Source organism: Homo sapiens, chromosome 1 (genome assembly GCF_000001405.40).
Source record: "Homo sapiens chromosome 1, GRCh38.p14 Primary Assembly".
Classification (NCBI taxonomy): Eukaryota; Metazoa; Chordata; class Mammalia; order Primates; family Hominidae; genus Homo; species Homo sapiens.
In genome coordinates this window covers 240091657-240106195 of record NC_000001.11, presented here as the reverse complement: position 1 = coordinate 240106195, position 14539 = coordinate 240091657, and the positions used below count along the sequence as shown (strand labels likewise).

The 14539-nt window shown below is 43.2% G+C and overlaps 1 protein-coding gene across 7 annotated transcripts in view; it reads right to left on the bottom strand.

Moving 5' to 3' along the window:
* The window catches only part of FMN2 (formin 2), a 383305-nt gene extending 368992 nt beyond the window's left edge, over positions 1-14313 (bottom strand). For all 7 annotated transcript variants that reach the window (NM_001305424.2, NM_020066.5, NM_001348094.2 and 4 more), the window contains exon 1: positions 12472-14313. In NM_001305424.2, the coding sequence (NP_001292353.1) occupies positions 12472-14086 (1615 nt within the window). In that variant the 5' untranslated portion in view covers positions 14087-14313. The remainder of the gene's footprint in view (positions 1-12471) is intronic.

Below are 14539 nucleotides of genomic sequence, written 5' to 3'. Positions count from 1 at the left end.
AAAGGCAGAAGGCAATCTAAGAAAAAGTATGCAATGGATACTCGGGGATGAATGGTGTTCTGATTGGATAAAATACTATAGAGTTGTTTAAATTATGCTTTTGAAGTATTTTAAATAATTAGTGAGATTTTTATTAATGTTCAATGTAAGACACAACGTACTAAATTAAAACGTTAATAATGTTTCTGGGTTTTAGGAATATGGCTCCCCAAAAAGTGTATGGAAATCCACAAAAACTTACCATATTTAATGCTAAAAGGAAAGCCACAATAATTCCAAAAGAATCTACACAATGTATACTGTTCTATGATTATATTTCAATTATTTGCTGTAAAAAAAAGCACTACCTTTAAAATCTCATATAACTGTAAGCTATAGATTTTACTAAATAAACTTTACATTTAAATAACGTTCATAAAGGAAATCATACAGTATTTATACCTGATAGATACTGAAAACATTTCTTTACCTTAACAATAATCAACTAGAAATAAAACTAAAGTAAGATCCCATTCCCATTAGTAATAAAATATATGAAGCATCAGGAAATAGTTCAGCAAAGGAAACACAAACTCTTTATGGAGAAAAGTCTAAACTCTATTAAAATGAATAAAAGATGATCTGAATAAATGAAGAGATCTTTCACATTCTCAGATAAAATGATATTACAAAAGTGGAAACAGTCCTCAATTTAATCTATGAATTGACTAAAATCTCAATCAAACAACTTCAGGATTTTTTAAGAAACTCAACAACCTATTCTAATTTTATTCTAAATTTATATGGAGGCCGGGTGCAGTGGCTCACACCTGTAACTCCCACACTCTGGGAGGCCGAGGTGAGTGGATCACTTGAGGCCAGGAGTTCAAGACCAGCCTGGCCAATATGGTGAAACCCAATCTCTACCAAAGATACAAAAATTAGCCGGGCATGGTGGTGGGCGCCTGTAATCCCAGCTACTCAGGAGGCTGAGGTAGGAGGATCACTTGAACCCAGGAGGTTGAGGCTGTAGTCAGCCGAGATCACGCCACGGCACTCCAGCCTGGGCGACAGAGTGAGACTCGGTCTCAAAAAAAAAAAAAAAAAAAAAAAAAAGAAGCATAAACTAGGAAAGCATTCTGGAAACTAATCTGACAGTACCTACTCAAATAAAACCTTTTATTTAATGACCTGACAATTCCACTTCCAAATGTATATCCCAGAGAAGTTCTCCCATAGCTCCCTGTATGGAAATATTCATCAGACTGTTTTCTCTGGTGGCCGAGAAGTACAGGAATCTAGATGTTTATCACCATGCTCATGTTTAAATAAAATCTAGGGAATGTGCCCAGAGACACCACATTGAACAGCTCTAGGGGAACATTACTCACACACAATAAAAGGTGAATGGTGACCCTGGTGTTGAACAACCCAGCAGGACTTTCATTCTTAGGAATAGTATATAACAGTGGGAAGCAAAAAACAAGGTGGAAATTCACCCAGAAAAGTTCGTAGATTTTTTTCCAAAGGTGGTTGAGTTTTGTTTTGTTCTTTTTAAGAAACAGAATGAGGTCTGCAACTCAGAGTATTTGTATAAACCAAACATAAACAGAAATACTATATACTTTAGAAAAATGCAGACTAATTCAAAGAGAGCAATAGATAAAAGCAGTTCTGTATGTCTACTAGAGGCTTCGGAATGGGAAGTGAAAATGCAGGGAGTATGATAAGGACAAAACGAGTTTTGCCTGGACTGATGATGCGAGTGTGTCACAGACTGGATTCTCATGAATACAACTACATGGATTCTTTTTTTCTCTGAGGACCAGGAAGAAAAAGTGTTAATAATACCTAAAATTACCAGAGAGAGCATGAGCTATCTGAAAAATGACTGAAGCACTTAGGACGAGGTGAGGAATAGTAGATCCTGAACAATGAGGTGACAAAACTACAGAGATTAAATATTAATACATATTAAAATATATATAATGTCTATTATATATAATATATAGCTTATATATGCTATATAACATAATGTCGGCTGGGCACGGTGGCTCACGCCTGTAATCCCAGCTCTTTGGGAGGCTGAGGCGGGCGGATCACGAGGTCAGGAGATCGAGACCATCCTGGCTAACACGGTGAAACCTCGTCTCTACTAAAAATACAAAAAAGATTAGCCAGGCGAGGTGGCGGGCGCCTGTAGTCCCAGCTACTCGGGAGGCTGAGGCAGGAGAATGGCGTGAACCTGGGAGGCGGAGCTTGCAGTGAGCCGAGATCGCACCACTGCACTCCAGCCTGGGGATAGAGCAAGACTCCGTCACAAAAAAAAATAATAATAATGTCTATATTAATATATTTAATATGTACATAGTAAAGAATTTAAACTCAATAGCCTCAGGGTGATAGGGGACCAATGACATGTTTCTATACCGGAACCCATTCAAGTTTGTATGTTAAGTCATTTACTCTCTTGCTTCATGCAGAATGGAGTGGAGAAACGCAGGTTGTGGACAAAAGAATGTTGAGGAGGCTGTTGATAGGGATTTAAACTAGGAAGGGTAGAGATAATGGAAACAGAAATTGGAAGACATTTTAAAGAGATACTTAGGAAAAGAAAAGAGAAAATGGAAAGATTAACTGGGTGTGAAGTATGAGAAGGATGGAGGAATCCAAGAATATGGCAAAGCTAGACGGCAATGCCTTGTTTGGGAAACCCAGAAGGAGGGTGTTAAGAGGGTGGGTAAAATAGTAAGTATAGTTTTAGACACGGTGAATATCCTAGGCTTGTGATGTCTAAGTGAGATATGTCTGAGGTCCAGAGAAACACAGAAACTGCAGACACAACTCTAGCAGTCTATTGGTAACTGACAAAGACAAAAGCACACATACAAAAGGAAATCAGGGGCTCAACCTTAAGGGCTTAGCCTCAAGCTAAAGCTAAAGCCACATGCCTAGCTTTTATTATCCAAAAGCAGATGATATGAAAATGATCTGTGAATTTAGAGTCAAATGAGTCTCCTTAGAGAAATAATCCAAGTTATTAAAGGCATTGGCCAGGAGCAGTGGCTCATGCCTGAAATCCCAGCATTTTGGGAGGCCGAGACAGGCGGGTCACCTGAGGTCAGGAGTTCGAGATCAACCTGGCCAACATGGTGAAACCCCGTCTCTACAAAAAAATGCAAAAATCGGCCGGGTGTGGTGGCATGTGCCTATAGTCCCAGCTACTCGGGAGGCTGAGGTGAAAGAATCTCTTGAACCTGGGAGGCAGAGGTTGCAGTAAGCCAAGATGGCGCCACTGTATTCCAGCCTGGGTGACAGAGTGAGACCCTGTCTCAAAAAAAAAAAAAAAAAATTAAAGGATCACCTTTTTACTGATATCACGTTGTCAGCCCAGTCAAATGTCTCTCCACTTTCTCCACTTAAATCACTGCAGTTCTTATACAACCCTCTCTGCCTATCCCCAAAATATTGAATCCAACAGAGTCAACATACTTCTGGATTTTTCTAAAAATTGAACAGAGACAGATCAATCCCTATACCCTGAAAGAAACTGCAAGGATACCATCCACACATTTTATATCCCCAAAGCCATTTAACCAAAATAGCACCAAAAGGACAGAAGATATAATTGGCTTATAGAAGAACATTTTGGTTAGCTGCAAAATGTAACACTTCCCACAGAGAGCTCACATAACTTACCCTCTCCAAACAGGCAAGTATTGGTCTATAAGAAAAAGAAGCCAATTATCTACAAGTATATAGGTTAAAAAATGAGTTTCAAAGATTATCCCTATTGTTACCTCATTTCTTTTATTATACTTTTAAAAGATAAACCTTGTATCTCAATAATGAAGAGCATCCTTACAAAACTCTCCACAGAGTATTCAAATGCATTTATTTGGGATCCTGAAATAGTTCTATTCTAGTCCTTAATGGGCTCAAACAAGCTGTACTTGTTTAAGGCCAATGGAACTTTTTTCTTTTTAAAGTAAAAAACCTAGGACCTCTCAACACCTTTTAACCTTCTAGTTTCTAAGAAATTTTTAATATCAATGCACACTTCTAAATGGAATACCACAGACTCATAAAAAGTATTTCAGTAAGCATATTCAATAGTAGGAAAAACTGAAAACATAACAAAAACCAATATATTAAAGTATATTGAAGTAAGAGAATTAATAGTACTGCTTTTATTGAGCAGTTTAAACTATAATGAAAAATTCAAAGCCTACAATCCATCCAAGAACAAGAGATGACTTACATTGCAGATAATGAAACTAAAAGTAATGACTCAGTATATTTTGTGCCAATATTAGAAAGCCTTCATATATTCTAAATCTTCGAGCCATACATTATATAACATAGCTTTCCATTTCATACATTTTCATAACACACGATCAACCATCATACATAATCATTATATCAGTGTTCAAAAACACAAGGCCCTATCGAGACCAGCCTGGGTAACATAGTGAGACCCTGTCTCTCCAAAAAAAAAAAAAAAAAATTAGCCAGGCATAGTGGCTCACGCCTGTGGTCCCAGCTATTCTGGAAGCTGAGGTGCTGAGGTGGGAGGATTGCTTGGGACCAGGAGTTTGAGGCTGCAGTGAGCCATGAGCACACCACTGCGCTCCCGCTTGGGTGGCAGAGCATGACCCTGTCTCAAACACACACACACACAACACAGACACACAGGCACACACACACATACACACACACACACACGGTCCTATTGTCAGATAATGACAGTCTAACCAATGCAAATCTCCTTCAGCATGAATCAAAAATTGATCAAAACTATCAAAGTCAAAACATCACCACTCTCACCATCAATTACTCCGTGGTATAAACGGGTCTTCCGGCATAGGAATTTTCTTCAGCTCTACCAATAAAGGAAAGCTCTAAATACACAGAGCATCCCTATTAGGGAGAAAAGGTACCTGCTGGAATCACCATATCTATAGAACCACAGTGCTGAAATTGACTTGAAGGAAGACGCTTCCCAGCAAGATTGCATTCACTCTTCCAATCTGGGAAGCCAGGGTATTAACAAGAGGCAAGAAATGATTGCCTTGTGCCCTAATAGGAAGCTGGTGGTAAAACGGAAAAGGGAAATAGATTGTTCTCAGCCTGCACTCTTCCCATAGTGCTGACACTAGCTTACTGAAACACATTCTTTCCCCTCCTGCGTACCTAAAACAACCATTTAAATGACACAGAATTTCTTCCTGTATGTGTCCACTCTATCACCAGGTACTACAACAAAGAACCCTTCTGCATGAAGTACAAAAAAAGACTCAACTGAGTAGTGCCTAAGCCTTTTTAAGCATAATTTTGAAACATAATATAGGCTTGATTTTCTCAAGAAAGTATTCCATTCCTCCTGAAAACAATAGGACTGTTTTCAGTCCATTGCAGCTCTAGGGTAACAGATAATAAAGCTTCCAGTGGGTTCCTGGTAGGTTGGAGCCTGACTGGATCACAGAATAGAGGCAGTAATTTTCCTATCCAATCAACACTTCCAAGTACATCTTTACAAAGGAAGAAGACATAAATTCTTCCCTCCTTCTCACCCATAGTGGAGCAGTAGGTATCAAAAGGATAATAAATCTCTAGTGTGGTTAGCATCTTATTATAGCATCCAGAAATAATTGTTACTCATTCTTAGAATTTTGATGTTATGACTACCTTGCTTTACTACCATTCCGAACTGACTGAGGTCATATTTTCCATATATTTTAAGATAAAAAAGCCTTAGAAAGTTTCTACTGTCACTAAAATGATATCTAATAACTATCAAGTCACAGGCAGTACATTTTTGTTTCTTCCTAATGGTTCCTTAATGCTAACTTTTATTAGCATTAGGTTAGTACTTAGAATACAAAACAGGAATGAACAGAGGAATACAATTTTCTCTATTCCCTTTACCTCTTCTTTCATTACAATAACATTTATATTTGGAAGGTCAGTTGCTGTAATGTCATTACTATTTTAACATTAACCTGCAGAAACAAGAATAGCTATTCTTCTATCAACATAAGTTCTATAAAGTATCATTGATTCAATCACACCTCATTGAAAATAATTAATTTTGACTGCCCAGAAAGGTTAGCAATTTTCCAGCTTCAATTCAACTAGTTTTAATTGCCAGTAGGAAGCCTGGATACTCAACTTGTCTATATCACTGCCAAAAATGGTGAATGAGCAAGTATTCATCAAGACCTCAGTACAGTCGGTGCTTTACACATATTGACAGGCACAGAGCAAGGCACGGAAGAGATATCTGTGGACAGATTAGTAGGAGAGGAGATGATGGATGGATGGAATCGGGTGAACAGGCAAGGAGGAAGGAAAGGCAGAGGGTGGCAAGAAAGAAGACCAGAAGAATCCCTAAATCCAAGAAGCATATATAATATGATCTAGACAGTAAAGTACAGAGAAAGTGAGATGACAGCCAGTAAGGTCTGGCTGGAAAAGATACAAAGAGGAAACGGAATTCAATCAGCACTTTTCAAATGCTAAAGCAAAAGAGACGAATCATGTATTCCAAGAGGGTAAAGCTGCAAGACAAAGGCACAAAGTCGGGAAAATGAAATGCATGTTCATAAAACAGTGTAAAGTAGAGCATTTATGAAGGAGACCGTGGGAAGGTAAAGCTGCAAAGTCAGGGGTTTGCAGCCAGATGCTGTGCAGAGCAGAAACACTGAGGGTGTCAGCTACCGCCTCCTCTTCCCACCCCTTCTTTGGAAAGCAGCACCCTCCCCCAAATCTTACAGCCACACCCCATCATATGCTTTTCTTATCCAACCCCCCACCACAGAATATCTGATAAGTGACAAAATGCTTACAATTCCAGAAAAAAAAAAGAAAAAATAATACATAAACAATTTGCAAAAAAAAACAAAACAAAACAAAACTGGGGCTCAACTAGTATCTGGTCAGTTCATATCCTGCTAAGTTTTGTATACAATTTCAGGGTTGTTTTAACAAATTTGGCTCTGATCACTTTGAACAATGACTTTTTTTTTAAGATAATAAATCCAGTCAGGAGAGCAAATAGCCCCAGTTAAGTGCCTCTCATGTACCAGGCAGAATTGTAGGGGCTTTATGTATGCTATTTCATTTCATCTTAATAGTATTAATTTGAAATTATTCTTCTACCTTCATAGATATGAGGAAAAATTACTGGAGACTCACTTAGCTAAACAGCAAAACTAGGATTGCAAATATACCTAGAATAAACGTAGTTAGAATAACTACTGCTACCTTCATCCAACTGTATATTTTCTGTATCTTTTCAGAAGAATCAGAAGGAAAAGCACTAAAAGTACCTGCTCCATTTCAAATACGCATGGCTTATATCCAAACGCCTAAAGCTCTTAAAACTAGGCCCATCCTCAACTCATAAAGCAGTCATTAAAACCCATCCCTGAAGCTACTGGTGCACTTGACTTCAATCCAAACCACAGGCCTAAAGAAACCATGAGAAAGGATGTTTCAGACCCATCTAAAATGATTGAAGATCAGTGTTCTGGTCCCCGCTTACATCGCCAAATTCTTCTCTGATATATGGAACCCAGTAAGGCAGTATTTAGGGGAAAGCATAGCATTCATATAAACCCCTTTCCTTTTATAATAAGACATTTTATACGTATCAGGCAGATTCTGACCTTCATTCGTCAGACATTAACTGGACATCTATACTCTGTCAGGGGCTCTGCTGGAAATCAAACTACTCCTGGCCTTAAAAAAATCCAATGTAGCAATTTACCAAGCCGTATGAGAAAATGTGTACTCCTAGAGTGGGTTCTTCCCTCTACTGATATAAAAATCAAGATAGGCCTCCTAGCACTTGGGGAGGCCAAGGCAGATAGAACACCTGAGGTCAGGAGTTCAAGACCAGCCTGGCCTACATGGTGAAATCCTGTCTCTACTAAAAATACAAAAATTAGCTGGGTGTGGTCATGGGCGCCTATAATCCCAGCTACTCTGGAAGCTGAGGCAGGAGAATTGCTTGAACCCAGTGGGCGGAGGTTGCAGTGAGCCAAGATCACGCCACTTCATTCCAGCCTTGGCGACAAGAGTGAAATCTGTCTCCAAAAAAAAAAAAAAAAAAAAATTCAAGATAACCTTTAGAAAGGCCAAAATCAGAGTTGCACAATCCAAGTTCTAGAGCCTATGCACTTTATTAATTAGCTAGTCCTCCAAAAGCTCAATGATCTACTTGGTTTCATCTTATACATATTAACAACAGATTTGGTTTTCTAAGGACATATCCTGGATGGGCCACTTACTAGCTTAATGCCCTTAGACAAGAAGTTACTTTACTGTCTGAGCCTGGGTTTTTTCATTCGAAAAATGAGGATAAACAGCTACACCTCAAGACTGTTGTTAAGGATTACAGATAGTTATGTAATGCACCAACAGAGTCTGGCACTTAGAAGTACAATAAGTGTAACCAATATCATAATTACAGGAATTGTAAGCCAATTGCAAATTGATCAGAAAAGTCAAATTACAAAAAAATTGAGGGACAGGAGCAAAGAGACTAAAGACAGCTATAGCCGGGCGCGGTGGCTCACGCCTGTAATCCCAGCACTTTGGGCGGCCGAGGCGGGCGGATCACGAGGTCAGGAGATCAAGACCATCCTGGCTAACACGGTGAAACCCCGTCTGTACTAAAAATACAAAAAATTAGCTGGGCATGGTGGTGGGCGCCTGTAGTCCCAGCTACTCAGGAGGCTGAGGCAGGAGAATGGCGTGAACTCAGGAGGCGGAGCTTGCAGTGAGCAGAAGTCGTGCCACTGCACTCCAGCCTGGGCAACAGAGCGAGACTCTGTCTCAAAAAAAAAAAAAAAAGGCAGCTATAACAATAAATAGCTGGCAGCAAGAAAACAATCAAGAAACTACACAGACACAAAAACTCAGAAACTACAGACTGAAGCCAACAGCCCACACACTTCAATAGCTGTTGAGGACATCACTAATGTTTTTATAAGATGTAACAATGATGTGCCTGAAGATGACATTAAGCCCTTTAAAACAGATTAAACTTTTATTCCATGTGTTTAAAAAAAAAGATAAGCACATAATTGACTTGGGAAAGATTCCTATCAAAAGCGATTTAGCATCACAAATTTAACACGTTGGATATCTAAACTTTAATTAACTGCAAAACTCCAGTACCAAGCTTCTGTTATACTTAATATGTAAAGGAACCTCCCGAATTTCAGACGCCATTTTTTCTACTAAACACTGAAAAAGATGTATTTCAAACACATTAATTATGAAATACTTAAATGCAATGGCCTAAGGCATCATCAGTTTCTTAATAGCTAAAACAAGATAAAGTTTGGTCTCCCTCATTGCTAAATGTTTTTAGATCTACCAAAGAGACACAGACATGTGCCATAGAAATCCCTTTTCACTTGTATTTTCTCCCTACATTTGGAAGGCGGTAAAAAGCGAAAAACATCTGTTTCTTCCTGTAATGCTGACAACCCTCATTCTATGGTTTAAAAATAAAAGATGCTTATGGAAGCTTATAGATATAATGATCACCTGCTTCAAAGGCAGCTGGCAATTAATTGATCCAAATACATGCAAAATTAAGGCCAAAAAGAAATTTCCCTAAGGACAATGCCAGTGTTCCCCAAGCCTCTGGTAATTTCCAAGACACCCGTAAAAAAATAGCAGAGGAGAGTAAAGAAGCAAACGTAGTGGCAGATGACATGAAGAGTTGACAGCTGAGACACAAGGGCCTGTGTCAATCTGGATTCATTTGACCACCATAAGAACAGTTTCCATGAGAGCTGCTTAGAGAAAATCTGGTTCACTCTGGCCAACAATCACCCTTCATCCAGCTCAAGGAAGGCCAGATGTTCAACCATTAAAGGAGGACACCTTATTAAAAACAGGAACTGGAAAATCTAATTAAAGAAAGGCCCTAAATCTGATCACATTTTTTATAAACAGTTTTTACTCTCTATATGGCCTTAAAACATTGTATATCCAAACAGAAATAATAATGACATTAGACTTGATTCATTGACTCAGTTTCTATTTCTGGATCTGCCTCTGAATGAATCACAGTGTGACCTTGAGAAAGTTATTTCACCTCTTTCTCTATCTACATTTTCCCACCAGTTACAAAGTTAGGTAAAACCTACTGATCCTCTTTTCCTGAACAATGCTGAGTGAATGACATAAACATACGGAAGCTGCTACACAAAAATATATTTGCTGATTACCAACCAGCTGTATCCAACCATCAAATACAAAATAGGTGATGTCCTTATAAAAACGACTAGCTCTGCAATTTTACTTTGCACAATTTAAAAAACAAATCACCTGGAGAGGTCAACAAAACCCAGGTGGTTCCTATACAGGACTCTTTTAAGAGTCCCAAATTTCAAATTTGGGAATACTTAGCAAATTAAACTAAAATGCAAGTTCCAAGAAGACACTTGTTTTTTTAAAGGAAAACAAACATTCAACCTATTTAGGGTCTTGTGATCTTCCAGGACTCTGTTCAATCCTCCTCTCTCAAGTCCTCTTCCCTCACCCCTTGCCACCAAGCAGATAAGCCACTGCATCCGTGATGTTCCCAGCAGTGATTTGCATGTCTATATCTATACAGATATTTCTGTGCACTGCACTTATGTCATGTCTCCTCCTCACTAGTCAGCGAGCCTTAGAAAGGCAAAATCATGATTTAATGGTCTATGTATCACCTACATCTAGAATACTGCCTAGCACAGTGTGCTACTATTTAGAATACTGCCTAGCACAATGTGGCTGCTCAATGTGTGTGTGTGTGTGTGTGTGTGTATGCACATATATGCTTACAAATGTATATACATATATATATTTGCTAAATGAATGAAATAAATAAATTTCCAAAGTCTTATGCTAGTAGGAATAGCTATCATTAATATTAATGATTGATAATCATTATGGTGAATTATTTTCACTTTTCAAAAACTATATACGTGAATGTCACTTAGATAAAGAGAAAATATGTGATTTCTTACCAACATTAAATTCACAAAAATTAATGCAAAAACTTTCCAATCTTCTTCTATCAAAAGTGATCTTTCTTTTTTATTTGTTTTGCATTTTGTTTTTGTTTTTTTACAATTTATCTAGTGGGTATAAAACTACAAACATTCTTTTTAACAATCTACACAATAAAGAGAAGGTGGAAAAGAAGAAAAATAAGAGTATGTGAAATGAATGGAAGAAGCTACTTTTAAGGGTAAGACCCTATAAGGGCAAAATAAAAGGTGGCCCACAGATGAAAATTAAAATGTGGTCAATAAAAGTAGCTACCCCAATATTACCAGCATTTAGTCAACTAAGAAGTCGCTGTCTGTGCCGAGAAATTTCATCTAAGCAATGTTTTACAGATAATGTATTTATTAAAATAATAGAACATAAGATTTTAAAATTTTCAGATTGCATTTGAAATGTTTAATCCTTCAAATATTTATCATAAACCTATCAGTAGTCATGTAACTTTTCATATTTTTCGATTCATTAAATTCTAACACTCTATTTCATTTAATAATTAAGAATAGAGGTTAGGTAAACATGTTGGGCTCTTAAGGTAAGGCCTTGGGCCCTGTAAGCCTGTAAGCTAGGATAAACTCATTGGACTGCTTGACACTGACCAGAGCAAACATACTCTGGCTGTGCTTTATGCCGCCCTGGGTATGAGTCTATAACATATGCTAGGGAGGGGAGGTACCAGTTGGACTAGACGTGCTTTTGACCTTTCCACCTTCACTGTCTCCAAACTACAGGCTGTTCTGGGCTGGACCATGAAACTGAATGAAAATTATCCCTACTATTCTATTTATTTATTAATTTTCTAATAGCATGTATCGGATTTTCTTGCAGCAGCAAACAGCAGTGAGTGACCGCTTAACTTCACTAAGCAGCGGAACCCAGACTGCTGCAAGATAGAAACTACATATCACATACATACCAAACGTGGACAAATACACACAGCTATGAGAGCGGTCAGAGACTGCCTTTGGATCGTACCGGAATAAATGATTTGTGCCTCCAAAACCGACTCTTGCGAAAGAACCATGAACAATTTTTTTTCTTTTTAATGCTGTGGTGATGAAAAATGAAAGAGAAGAATGATGGTTTAGCTAACGAGACGAAAAAGGAGTTTATCTCCCTGGCGTGACCCGAAACTTTGTGAATAGCAGGTATTTTGGTGAAATGGGCAGAGCAACTTAGGACAGACACAACTAAGTTGTTCCCTTTAAGATCTTGTAAGAACACAGAAAACCAACAAGTATGTCCAAGTCATTTCACCGTGGGGGGTGAGCTCGCTGGGCGGAAAAGGATTCCCTACGGAGAAGAGATGTGCCACTACCAGGTCACCGCCTTCCAGAGCCCAGGGAGGGCGGGTGGCAGGGGAAGGCCCTGACTGACAGGCGACTTGAGACCCGGAGGCCAGCAGCAGGGCGCGCTCACCTGTGAACACGTTCTGGAAGCCATCCGCAGCCGCGGGGGCCCCAGACGCCTTGGCGGCCAGTGCTGGGGACACCCCACCGCCGCTGTCACTCGCCACCCCGCGCTCCAGCAGGTGCGCGGAGCCTCCCACCCGGGGCGTGCGGGCGCCTAGCTCCTCCGTCCAGTCAGCCGAGCGGCTCAGGCCGGCCGCAAGGCCGCCGTCGGCCCGGTGCTTCTTGGCCGGGGCGGCTACGGAGGCCAGGGCAGTTCTGGACCCTCGGCTCAGGGAGGGTTCCGGCCGCCTCTTGATCCTGGGGCTCTGATTAGGGGACTGAGACGGGGAGTGATTGGGCGAGCTGAGCTGCCGGGTGGTGGTCTTGATGTAGCAGGGGGTGATGAGCGGGTAGGGCTTGAAACAGCGCTGGCTAGGCGCGGGGCTGCCGGGCAGGGAAGCGGCCGCGGGGGCGTCAGGTCCTTGCGCCTCCTCCTCCGGCTCTTCCCCCAGCCTCTGCGGGGCGTCCTCTCCCACCTCCGGGGCCCACTCCTCCCCCGGAGAGCCCCGGGGCGCATCCTCAAAAGCATCCTCCTCACCCTCCTCATCCGTGTCCCCAGCCCCTCGCACGGGGGCTCCGGCCGCTTCCTCCCCCGGCCCGGCCTCGGGAAATGGGAAAGCCGTGGAGGAGGGCGAGTCTTTGGCCGCGGGTTGCGCTGCCGGGAGACTGGGCGCCTCGGAGACCGGGAGGCCGCCGGGGGACGGCGGTTGCTGGGGCTCCCGGGGCTCGGCGGCCAGGCTCTCGGGCAGGTCGGAGAGCGCGGACAGCGCCTGCTCGGTGTCCGGACTGCCCGGGGCCTCCCCAGCCCCGCCGCTCGGCCCCAGCAGGAACCGGTCCAGGCCCAGGAAGGCCCCGGGCTGAGGGGAGACGGCAGTGGGGGGCGCTGCAGGCTCCTCGGCGCCCTGGAGCTGCTGCTGCTGCTGCTGTTGCTGGAGCTGGAGCTGGAGCTGCTGCTGCTGCTGCTGCTGCAGGCGGATCGCCTGCTGGATGTCTGAAAGCAAATCCTCTTGCTCCGTAGCCGAATGGAAGCTATAGATGTCCGTGTCCGAGCCCGAGCTGGTCCTTTGTCCATCCTGCGCCCCTGCTGCAGTTTCCACATCCTCGGCGATCGGCCGGCCCCCGACCCTAGCCTCGGCAGGCCCAGGACCCCCTGGACCGGTCACCTCAAAAGGGTCCGCACACTCGGTATCCGACAGGCCGGCCTCGTCCGCCGAGAGGCTGAGGTCTGGAGTCTTGGTGAGCAGGGAGTGAGCGCTGTCCAGCTCCCCGGTCTGCAGGGCCTGGGAATCCAGTACATCTTCGCGGGAGCCGCCGGCGCCTTTCCCCTTGGACAGATTCTTCCTGATCCGCAGGTTGGAAAACACCGAGGCTCTGGAGTCGGACTTGCTCTTCTTCTTGCCCGACTCCCCGCCGCCGCCGCCGCCCCCTCCCCCCTTGCCGTGCTTGCCTAGCGCCTTCTTGCCCCCGCTCCCCTTCTTTGTGGCTTCCACATCCCTGGGCCCCAGCGCATCCTCGGCGCCACCGCCGCCTTCGTGCAAAGCATCACCTGCGCTCCTCTTCAGCTTCCCATCCTGGTTCCCCATGGTGCAATCCCGCTGCTGCGCCGCCGCGCCGCGGGCACTCAGGCCATCCCGGCCCTCCTCGGCCCCAGGTCCGGGCCTAGGGAGTCTCCCGGGAGAGTCAGGCGGCGGCGGGGGGAGCCGCTGGGAGGGGAGGCCGACGCGCGCCCGGCTGGCCCCGCTCGCATCTGCCGCCGCTTTGCATAATGCGCGGCGGCTCCCGTGGCTGCCGTCGCTGCGGCTGCGGCTGCGGCTAGGGGCCGGCGGGGCGCGAACATGCTCAGTGCAGAGCGCGGCGCCCACCAATGGCTGCGCAGAACGCAGCTCGGGCCTGGCTCCCCGCCCGCCGCCGCCGCCCCCTCTGCCCCCGCGCGGCTCCTCGCTGAACCTGGGCGCGAAAAACGTTTCCTCTATCTCGGGGACTTTAATCTCCACCGTGCGAATCGAATGCATTGTCCCCGACCGAAGAGATCGTCA